The sequence below is a fragment of the Homo sapiens genome, chromosome 18 (genome assembly GCF_000001405.40).
Source record: "Homo sapiens chromosome 18, GRCh38.p14 Primary Assembly".
Lineage (NCBI taxonomy): Eukaryota > Metazoa > Chordata > Mammalia > Primates > Hominidae > Homo > Homo sapiens.
In genome coordinates this window covers 70002176-70014198 of record NC_000018.10, presented here as the reverse complement: position 1 = coordinate 70014198, position 12023 = coordinate 70002176, and the positions used below count along the sequence as shown (strand labels likewise).

General features: G+C 40.1%; 1 protein-coding gene across 11 annotated transcripts in view; it reads left to right on the top strand.

Moving 5' to 3' along the window:
• Positions 1-11168, top strand: part of RTTN (rotatin) — a 202657-nt gene extending 191489 nt beyond the window's left edge. For all 11 annotated transcript variants that reach the window (NM_001318520.2, XM_047437468.1, XM_017025693.2 and 8 more), the window contains 3 exons: positions 7715-7818; positions 8932-9001; positions 9963-11168. In NM_001318520.2, the coding sequence (NP_001305449.1) occupies positions 7715-7818; positions 8932-9001; positions 9963-10048 (260 nt within the window). In that variant the 3' untranslated portion in view covers positions 10049-11168. The remainder of the gene's footprint in view (positions 1-7714; positions 7819-8931; positions 9002-9962) is intronic.

Genomic DNA, 12023 nt, shown 5'->3' with positions numbered 1-12023 from the left:
ATGTAGCTATTTAAATTTAAACTAATTAAAATTATTCAGTTGTACTCACTACATGTGGCTAGTGGCTATCTTATTAAATAGCAAGATATAAATATTTCCATTATTGTAGGAAGTTCTGTTTTACAACAGTAATCTAGAACTTCAGTGGCCAAAATTGAAAACTTAATATACATGTCTGACAGCAAGTTAGGTATAGCAGAGAACTTAGGAATTAGAAGATAGATTAGAAAAATATTATCCAGAATGCAGCAGAGAAAGCTAAAAAGATGAGAAAGGATCAAAAGAATCAAAGGTAAGTGACACAGCAGATATATCAAGACAGTCTTTGTGTTTAATGAAGTGTCCTAGGAGAATGGGAGAGGAAATATTTGAAGAAATGATGGGTAAAAACTTTAAGAACTTTTCTAAGACATTAATGTCACCATAACTGACAACTCACTGTAATTACCAAACTGACATCCCTAAACTTATACTTAAACCAATTGTATTAAGAAGGTAATATTCAATTATTATATTAAGGTAACATTCAATTATTATATTAAGGTAATATTCAGTTCAAATATTCAAAAATACTGTCTCATTATTTACATTTTACTACTGTATATTCACTTTAGGTTATTTAAATGTTTATATGAGAGTTCAGACCTACTTGTTGAACTCAAAATTGTTTTATTGCTTTGTTATATGCATGTTTCACAATAACATTTGTTTTGTTAAAAAAGTCGATCCACTTGCATTATCAGAGGGGCCCACCACATTAATTCACACACACACACACACACACAGACACACACACACACACACATATGTATATATACATACACACACAGTACTTTATTAAAAATGCTTTAAGGGATAGCTGGTTGAAGGAGTTATAAACTTACTTAGATCAGAGGAGTTATATATTCTGAGTGTTTGAGACAACATTTAAAAACATCACTTGATGCTACTCAGATGGAACATAAGGAAGTCACCCTCCCATTTAATAAGGGGACATTTGATGTGCCCTAATGAGTAGCACTTGCAGCCATAACCTCACGTGATAAATTGCATCTGCAAGCTATGTACATGGCTTGGTTCTGGGTAGGTTATGATACACGACAACCAAAGGGCATCAGATAGTGCAGATGAGGTGTTCAGGGAGTCGGCTGCAGCGTGCCCGAAACATCACTGCACCTGCCTTTCACATTGTCCTGATGCACATTTCCAGTTCACTTTAGGGAGCAGCTTTTTTTGTTTTGTTTTTGTTAAATATTTAAAATCCCTTAAAATAAAAAAATTGAATTATGTAGACAAAATTTTTGTTTATTCTATTCTGGAATCTTTCACACAACGAATATTTATTGAGCTCCTAAAATACACTAGCATTGTGGTTGGTCTAATACCAGTGAGTAGACACTGCCATCTAACTAATACCAGTGAGCAGACGTTGCCCTGTAACTAATACCAGTGAGCAGACACTGCCTTCTAACCAGTACCAGTGAGCAGACGCTGCCCTGTAACTAATACCAGTGAGCAGACGCTGCCCTCTAACCAGTACCAGTGAGCAGACACTGTGCTGTAACTAATACCAGTGAGCAGATGCTGCCCTCTAACCAATACCAGTGAGCAGACGCTGCCCTCTAACCAATACCAGTGAGCAGACGCTGCCCTCTATCTAACACCAGTGAGCAGACGCTGCCCTGTAACCAATACCAGTGAGCAGACACTGCCCTGTAACCAATACCAGTGAGCAGATGCTGCCCTGTAACCAATACCAGTGAGCAGACGCTGCCCTCTAACCAATACCAGGAGCAGACGCTGCCCTCTATCTAACACCAGTGAGCAGACGCTGCCCTCTAACCAATACCAGTGAGCAGACACTGCCTTCTAACCAGTACCAGTGAGCAGACGCTGCCCTGTAACTAATACCAGTGAGCAGATGCTGCCCTCTAACCAGTACCAGTGAACAGACACTGTGCTGTAACTAATACCAGTGAGCAGATGCTGCCCTCTAACCAATACCAGTGAGCAGACCCTGCCCTCTAACCAATACCAGTGAGCAGACGCTGCCCTCTGTCTAACACCAGTGAGCAGACGCTGCCCTGTAACCAATACCAGTGAGCAGATGCTGCCCTGTAACCAATACCAGTGAGCAGACGCTGCCCTGTAACCAATACCAGTGAGCAGACGCTGCCCTGTAACCAATACCAGTGAGCAGACGCTGCCCTCTAACCAATACCAGTGAGCAGACGCTGCCCTGTAACCAATACCAGTGAGCAGACGCTGCCTTCTAACCAATACCAGGAGCAGACGCTACCCTCTATCTAACACCAGTGAGCAGACGCTGCCCTCTAACCAATACCAGTGAGCAGACACTGCCCTCTAACCAGTACCAGTGAGCAGATGCTACACTCACAGACCCTGCCTTGAACCTTTTCCTATTTTAGTACCCTTATTTATTTATCTTGCCTGATTGCCCTGGCCAGAAGTTCCAATACTGTGTTGAACAGGAGTGGTAAGAAATGGCATCCTTGTCTTGTGCCAGTTTTCAAAGGGAATGTTTCCAGCTTTTGCCCATTCAGTGTGATATTGGCTGTGGGTTTGTCATAAATAGCTCTTATTATTTTGAGATATGTTGCATCAATACCTAGTTTATTGAGAGTTTTTAGCATGAAAGGGTGTTGAATTTTTTTGAAGGCCTTTCTGCATCTGTTGAGATAATCATGTGGTTTTTGTCGTTGGCTCTGTTTATGTGATAGATTACTTTTATTGATTTGTGTATGTTGAACCAGCCTTGCATCCCAGGGATGAAACGGACTTGATCTTGGTGAATAAGCTTTTTGACGTGCTGCTGGATTCAGTTTGCCAGTATTTTATTGAGGATTTTTGCATCGATGTTCATCGGGGATATTGGCCTGAAATTTCCTTTTTTTGTGTGTGTCTCTGCCAGGTTTTTGTATCAGGATGATGCTGGCCTCATAAAATGAGTTAGAGAGGATTCCCTCTTTTTCTATTGATTGGAATAGTTTCAGAAGGAATGGTACCAGCTCCACTTTGTATGCCTGGTAGAATTCGGCTGTGAATTCATCTGGTCCCGGGCTTTTTTTGGTTGGTAGGCTATTAATTACTGCCTCAATTTCAGAACTTGTTATTGATCTATTCAGGGATTCGACTTCTTCCTAGTTTAGTCTTGGGAGGGTGTATGTGTCCAGGAATTCATCCATTTCTTCTAGATTTTCTAGTTTATTTGCATAGAGGTGTTTATAATATTCTCTGATGGTAGTTTGGATTTCTGTGGGATCAGTGCTGATCTCCCCTTTATCATTTTTTATTGTGTCTATTTGATTCTTCTCTCTTTTCTTCTTTATTAGTCAGGCTAGTGGTCTATCTATTTTGTTAATCTTTTCCAAAAACCAGCTCCGGGATTCATTGATTTTTTGAAGGGTTTTTCGTGTCTCTCTCTCCTTCAGTTCTGCTCTGATCTTAGTTATTTCTTGTCTTCTGTAAGCTTTTGAATTTGTTTGCTGTTGCTTCTCTAGTTCTTTTAATTGTGATGTTAGGGTGTTGATTTTAGATCTTTCCCCCTTTCACCTGTGAGCATTTTGTGCTATAAATTTCCCTCTAAACACTGCTTTAGCTGTGTCCCAGAGATTCTGGTATATTGTGTCTTTGCTCTCTTTGGTTTCAAAGAACTAATTTATTTCTGCCTTAATTGTGTTATTTACTCAGTAGTCATTCAGGAGCAAGTTGTTCAGTTTCCATGTAGTTGTGTGGTTTTGAGTGAGTTTCTTAATCCTGAGTTCTAATTTGATTGCATTGTGCTGTGAGAGACTGTTTGTTATGATTTCAGGTCTTTGGCATTTGCTGAGGAGTGTTTTACTTCCAAGTATGTGGTCAGTTTTAGAATAAGTGCGATGTGGTGCTGAGAAGAATGTATACTCTGTTGATTTGGGGTGGAGTGTTCTGTAGATGTCTGTTAGGTCCACTTGGCTCAGAGTTGAGTTCAAGTCCTGAATATCCTTGTTAATTTTCTGTCTTGTTGATGTGTCTAATATTGACAGTGGGGTGTTGAAGTCTCCCATGATTATTGTGTGCGAGTCTAAGTCTCTTTGTAGGTCTCTAAGAACTTGCTTTATGAATCTGGGTGCTCCTGTATTGGGTGCATATATATTTAGGATAGTTAGTTCTATTTGTTGCATTGATCCCTTTATCATTATGTAATGCCCTTCTTTTTCTTTTTTGATCTTTGTTGGTTTAAAGTCTTTTTTATCAGAGGCTAAGATTGCCACCTCTGCTTTTTTTTTCTCCCCTGCTTGCCATTTGCTTAGTAAATCTTCCTCCATCCCTTTATTTTGAGCCTATGTGTGTCTTTGCACGAGATGGGTCTCCTGAATACAGCACACCGATGGGTCTTGACGCTTCATCCAATTTGCCAGTCTGTGTCTTTTAATTGTGGCATTTAGCCCGTTTACATTTAAGGTTAATATTGTTACATGTGAATTTGATCCTGTCATTATGATGCTAGCTGGTTGTTTTGCCCATTAGTTGATGCAGTTTCTTCATAGTGTCAATGTTCTTTACAATTTGATATGTTTTTGCAGTGGCTGGTACAGGTTTTTCCTTTCCATATTTAGTGCTTCCTTCAGGAGCTCTTGTAAGGTAGGGCTGCTGGTGACAAAATCTCTCAGCATTTGCTTTTCTGTAAAGGATTTTATTTATTTTTCACTTATGAAGCTTAGTATGGCTGGATATGAATTTCTGGGTTGAAAATTATTTTCTTGGGCCATACGCAGTGGCTCTCACCTGTAATCCCAGCCTTTTGGGAGGCCAAGGTGGGCGGACCATGAGATCCAGAGTCTGAGACCAGCCTGGCCCATATGGTAAAACCCCGTCTCTAATAAAAATACAAAAAAATTAGCCAGGTGTGGTGGTGCCCACCTGTCGTCCCAGCTACTCAGGAGGCCGAGACAGAAGAATTGCTTAAACCTGGTAGGCGGAGGTTGCAGTGAGCCGAGATCTCACCACTGCACTCCAAACCTGGGAGACAGAGCAAGACTGCATCCCCCTCCCCAACAAAAAAAGAAAAGATAAATTCTTTAAGAATGTTGAATATTGGCCCCCAGTCTCTTTTGGCTTATAGGATTTCTGCAGAGAGATCTGCTGTTAGCCTGATGGGCTTCCCTTGGTGGGTAACCCGACCTTTCTCTCTGGCTGCCCTTAACATTTTTTCCTTCATTTCAACCTTGGTGAATCTGATGATTATGTGTCTTGGGGTTGCTCTTCTCGAGGAGTATCTTTGTGGTGTTCTCTGTATTTCCTGAATTTGAATGTTGGCCTGTCTTGCTAGGTTGGGGAAGTTCTCTTGCATTTAATATCCTGAAGAGTATTTTCCAACTTGGTTCCATTTTTCCCCATCACTCTCAGGTACACCAGTCAAACATAGGTTGCTTCTTTTCACACAGTCCCATATTTCTTGGATGCTTTGTTCATTCCTTTTCTTTTTTTTTTTTCTCTAATCTTGTCTTCACGCTTTATTTCGTTAAGTTGATCTTCAATCTCTGACATCCTTTCTTCTGCTTGATCGATTTCGCTATTGATACTTGTGTATGCTTCACGAAGTTCTCATGCTATGTTTTTCAGCTCCCATCAGGTCATTTATGTTCTTCTTTAAACTGGTTATTCTAGTTAGCATTTCCTGTAACCTTTTATCAAGGTTCTTAGCTTCCTTGCATTGGGTTAGAACATGCTTCTTTAGCTTGGAGGAGTTTGTTATTACCCACCTTCTGAAGCCTGCTTCTGTCACTTCGTCAAACTCATTCTCCATCCAATTTTGTTCCCTTGCTGGTGAGGAGTTGTGATCCTTTGGAAGAGAAGAGTTATTCTGGTTTTGGGAATTTTCATCCTTTTTGCACTGGGTTTTCCTCATTTTCGTGGATTTATCTACCTTTGGTTTTTGATGTTGGTGACCATTGGATGGGGTTTTTGTGTGGATGTCCTTTTGGTTGATGTTGATGCTATTCCTTTCTGTTTGTTAGTTTTCTTCCTAACGGGCCTCTCTGCTGCAGGTCTTTGGGAGTTGGCTGGAGGTCCACTCCTGCCCCTGTTTGCCTGGGTATCACCAGCAGAGGCTACAGAAGAGCAAAGATTGCTGCCTGCTCCTTCCTCTGGAAGCTTCATCCCAGAGGGCACCCCCCAGATGCCAGCTAGAGCTCTCCTGTATGATGTGTCTGTCAACACCTGTTGGGAGGTGTCTCCCAGTCAGGAGGCACGAGCGTCAGGGACCCACTTGAGGAGGCAGTCTGTCCGTTAGCAGAGCTCGAGCACTGTGCTGGGAGGTCCACTGCTCTCTTCAGAGACAGCAGGCAGGAACATTTAAGTCTGCTGAAGCTGCACCCACAGCCGCCCTTTCCCCCAGGTGCTCTGTCCCAGGGAGATGGGAGTTTTATCTATAAGCCCCTGACTGGGCCTGCTGCCTTTCTTTCAGAGATGGCCTGCCCAGAGAGGAGGAATCTAGAGAGGCAGTTTGGGTACAACGTCTTTGCTGAGCTGTGGTGGGCTCTGCCCAGTTTGAACTTCCCAGTGCCTTCGTTTGCACTGTGAAGGGAAACAGGCTACTTAAGCCTCATTAATGGTGGACACCCCTCTCCCCACCAAGCTCGAGCATCCCAGGTCGACTTCAGACTGCTGTGCAGGCAGTGAGAATTTTAAGCCAGTGGATCTTAGTTTGCTGGGCTCCATGGGTATGGGATCTGTTGAGCTAGGCCACTTGGCACCCTGGCTTCAGCCCCCTTTCCAGGGGACTGAACAACTCTGTCTCACTGGCATTCCAGGCACTACTGAGGTATGAAAAATCTCCTGCAGCTGGCTCGGTGACTGCCCAAATGGCTGCCCAGCTTTGTGCTTGAAACCCTGGGCCCTGGTGGTGTAGGCACCCAAGGGAATCTCCTGGTCTGTGGGTTGCAAAGACCATGGGAAAAGCGTAGTATCTGGGCCGGAATGCACCGTTCCTCAGGGCACAGTTTCTCAGAGCTTCCCTTGGCTAAGGGAGGGAGCTCCCCCACCCCTTGTGATTCCTGGGTGAGGCGACACCCCACCCTGCTTTGGCTCGCCCTCCATGGGCTGCACCCGTTGTCTAACCAGCTCCAGTGAGATGAGCTGGGTACCTCAGTTGGAAATGCAGAAATCACCCGCCTTCTGCATTGATCTCACTGGAAGCTGCAGACCGGAGCTTCCTATTGAGCCATCTTGCCAGCCACCCTAGTCATTTTTAAAAAACATCAAGCAGTGTGATATTTGATGATCGTTTTTGTATAGTAGCTCATGCTACTGATGTGTTTGTATGATAGTCTTTATAATTTATCATGAAAGCAGATCTGTTTTTCTGCCTGCCAGAATGTTAGCTGTAATTGAGTAACTCATTAATGTACCTAATTGTATACTTATTTTTACACACTTGTGGTCTTTAAATGAATGTGCCTTTTCTTGAATTCTGGCCAAAAAATGAAGCAGCTTCAGTGTCTTTGACCCTTCTATGCCTGACATGAAAACAATGTTTTGAGGTTGTCCTCCCATATACCACATGGCATAAAAGATTGGTTTTGCCATAGTCTAGTGATACCAACTTTATGTATGCATTCTAATGGGAAAAGAGGGGGGTGTCTGACTAGTCCAAGATAAGAATACAATGCAGTGTCTGGGACTGAACTTTTAAAAAATATATGTTCATTTTTAGAAAAAGTCATTACTGTGCTTGCTGCCTGTCTGGAAAGTGAGAATCAAAATGCTCAGAGGATTGGAGCAGCTGCCCTTTGGGCTCTGATTTACAATTATCAGAAGGTCAGTTTTAAAAATCATTGTTACACCTGGGGAGCAAACAACAAGGTATAACCCAGGTATAAACTCTTAGGATACATCCAAAGGTGTCAAGAGTTACAGCAAAAGAAAAAAGACAAAATCAAAGATCCATGTTCCCTTTGCTGATTCATACAATTAGTAAACCATCAGTTGAAATCTTTTTATTTAATCATTTCAACAGAATGTCTCAGTTTAGAAGAGAATCTCTGAACTGACTTTTTCCTCTTAATTTAAATTGATTTACTTTATTATTGCAATTTTAGTATAGATTGTTTCTTCTAAAAGACGTATCAAGGGAAAACACATCTTAAAGTAAAACTGAGTAACAAAAGTTTTATCCAATTGTACAATTCCCCTTTATCTAGCTCAGTTCTTGTACGACTGCAGCCCAAAGCCTGCTCTGAGAAAAGGGCAGGCAACGTGGAGATTTGTGTTCTACTCTTTCTCTGGCCTTTGGACTTCCACTTTATTGCAGACATGTTGTTCCCAAGAGAAATACCCATAAGTATCTAGTGATTAAGTAGTAGCCAAGTGACAGTGTTAGGATAGACAGCCATCCTAGAATGGTGTTCTCTCAGCTGACTGTCTCTGCCGGGGCTAGTTTTCTCCCTGCTGGCCAGAGTCACGTACACAAGGACAAGAGGGTGTTGTTTTCTTTCTCACCTGGGTATCCCCAGAGCTTAGCACAGGATTTGGCACTTTGTAGTCACTCTGTAAATATTTGTTGACCAACTGCTAATATTTGGTATATGTGATCAGAAATCTGAGGTTTGAGGGAGTATGAAAAACTGAAACCAAGGATGACTAGTTTAAAATAGCAAATTGAGATTAGGGGAGAAGGAGTAAAAGAGAAGGGAAGAAAGAAAATGGGAATAGAGAAAGAATCAAGTTAGATAAGAGGATATGGGCAAGACTTCAGAATGTGCAAGGGGATTGGCTCAATAGGATGTATTATGCTAAGATGGAACTCTCTAGTTATATTATTATATTTCATAATATTCTGTTTAATACTGTAGTTAGCAATGGGCAGAATTAGTGTTTTGCTATCATGATCCATAACACATGGCAAGAAACCTAATTAATGGATTGTTCTAGGCAAAAACAGCTTTGAAAAGCCCATCAGTAAAAAGAAGAGTGGATGAAGCATACTCCTTAGCAAAGAAAAGTAAGTTGCAATAAGAAAGAGATTATAGTTAAACTCAGAAGCTATTAAGTGGATTTTCTGATTAATGAGATATTTGGACAGGCCACAGCAAAATGGCATTGTAAAATGTGCCAATATTCAGTATGTGCTTTAATTATATCATTTTTTAAAATAATAAAATAGATAGATGAAGGTTTAAGATGTGATTGCTTCTAAAAATGCATCTGTGATCTTCGTCTTATTTTTGTACTAAATTTTCTTTGCCAACAGTGACCACTGTGCTGAAGTATGTTCTTAGTGATAAGAACTGGCCCAATTAGAATTAACTGTGAGCAGAAAACCTGGATCTAACATCAGGGAGCTGGAGGACAGTCTTCCAAGAATTGATCCTGTTACCCTTATATCCACGTTTCCCTGTGATGTGGTCACAATACTAGAGACGGTTTTCTTTTCAAAGCACATTATTCATTTTTAGTGACACCAAATTTCAGTGAGCGTTATTCTCTGAACATTTTTTATGCTAAAACACTGAATTGTGTCTTTCCTGTACTGTAATATATCTGTTGGTTATTTGTGTTTTTATAGTCTGATTTTTTTTTTTAAGCAGGGGAGGTTTTAGTTTGTTTTAGCTGCGACCATGAATTTCTGGAGCTAGTGAAGTTAAAGATTATGCTTTAGGAAGGATGGTACATAAAAAAAGATTAATGGCATTCATTTGGAATTATAGTTAATGGTATCCATTATGGGGGGTACTTTTTAAAAAATACTCTGGGTAAGCTGTTAATTTAAAAAAATATTGATTTTGTAACTTGTTTATTTTTTAAAAAATGCAAAATATTCTGGAATGCTATTACATCAAGAACTTAGAGCTTTAAATTATATATAAATCCTGTTCATATGTATTTGTTTATGTGTGTGCCTCCTAAGTATAGTACCAAGTTTCATAAACTAGTATTTCTGTACTCTTATTTTTCTATCTCAGCTTTCCCAAACTCAGAAGCAAACCCTCTAAATGCCTATTATTTGAAATGTCTTGAAAACCTCGTGCAGCTCCTTAATTCTTCCTGAGTGCCATGGGATGCTACACCTTGAAGCTGACAGTCATCAACAGGGGAGCTAAAGTTGAAGCCAGCTGTGTGTAGCAGCTGTTACCTGAAGACGTGCTACCTCTCTACAAAGTGTTGATCCCCTTCTTTCCCATGAGAGAGAGAACTGGTGATACTCCAACACCGTCCAGTTGTGGCAGCTCTCCAGAAGTAATAGCAGCTGACAACTTTCTGTGCCTTTTCCTTTCTGTTGAAAAGGCATAGAAAGTTCTGGGAACATAAACATTTTTACCCTTTTCTATGCCATTTATTTTGTAAAAATCCTATTTAACAGTTATTTAATAAAACAATATTTTTAGAAACTAAAAATTGACTAATAATTGCTGCTTACAGACTTTTATCAGTCTCATGAATATTAATTTTAGGAGTTGAAATAAGACACTGTGTCCTGGTTGTTTCTCTCTTTTTTTAAATTTTAACTGATGTAAAATTTGGCTCTGTCAGTGCAAATCCTTATTTTCAAAACTTTCTGTTATCCAGAGCATCCACACTGGAAAAGGGCTATGTAGAAGTAAGTGTGCATTATTTGTAAAGGGCTGTGTGGAAGTAAATGTACATGATTTGTAAGTAGCTTTCTTAGGCAAGTTTTAGTGATGTTATCTTCTTCCTAGATGACTCTTAAATCATTACATGTATAATCTTCACCGTTGTCTTCTGCAAGGCTGTGTAATAAAGAAGAAAGAAATAGAGTTGGGGCTGTATAAGCCTGGGTTCAAATTTAGCTCAGCCCAAAACATCATGAAGAATAGAGTAAGACTGAAAAATGCAGAAGATGGCCGGGCTTGGTGGCTCATGCTTATACTTTCAGCTCTTTGGGAGACCGAGGTAGGTGGATCACTTGAGGCCAGGAGTTTGAGACCAGCTTGGGCAACTTGGTGAAATCCCATCTCTCCTAAAAATACAAAAATTAGCCATTCCTGGTCTTGAGCGTCTATAATCTCAGCTACTCCAGTGGCTGAGGCACGAGAATCTCTTCAACCTGGGAGGCAGGGAGGTTGCAGTGAGCTGAGATCATGCCACTGCATTCCAGCGTGGGTGACAAAGCAAGACTCTGTCTCAAAAAAAAAAAAAAAAAAAAAAAATGCAGGAGGAACAAGCTCTATACTCTATTACATAATCTTACTTAACCTGTAGTTTTGAATTCCGCACTTAAACCAAAATCAAGTACTAATCACTTTCAGCAACTTTCCCAACACTTTTGAAAGTGAGAAAATTGTGTGTAAGAGAAATAAAAGGTGAAGTATTAATATATATATGTTTGTATATACATATATGTCATATACATGTATACATATATATTCATTTAGGATAATGTTTTCAGAAAAACTGAAAGAAAAATATCATTTTAAGTGCTGTTAAATTGCTAACAGCAATAAAATAAGCAATGATGTTATTTAAGCTGGAAGTATGACAAAATTTATGTTAAATACAGAAATAGTAACAGTTAAGTTTGTAATGTCTGAGAATTAATTGATTCGAGATCTGAAAAATAAATCTAGGAAGCTCAGAAGTTTCTGAGCTGCCCAAGTTAATGTGTAGCGGAAAACTCGTCAATTCTGAGAGCAGGAATCTTGGGAATTATTTTTCCCTTTTCTCCCGATATCTTATATTTTTTGCCATTTTTCTGGAATTCTCTAATCAGCCCTCACTGATAAATAAATGAAATGAATTTCTAACTCCCTTCATAACTCCTTTATAACTCCTCCTTCTATGTCCCAGCTATTATTCTCGGAACTTTTATCATTTAATCTATCTTTTTCTAAAATACTACTAATGTCTTTGTGTTCCAGGTGAATAAGCGGAGGCGCAGAGCGGTTAAGTAATGTGCTCATTGACTGTGGCTGGTTATCAGTGAAGTGGAGGTTGGAACCCAGGATAACTGCGAAGAAGTTTGCTTTTCTTTATAAACCACTTTTCTTTATAAACCATTTATTCTG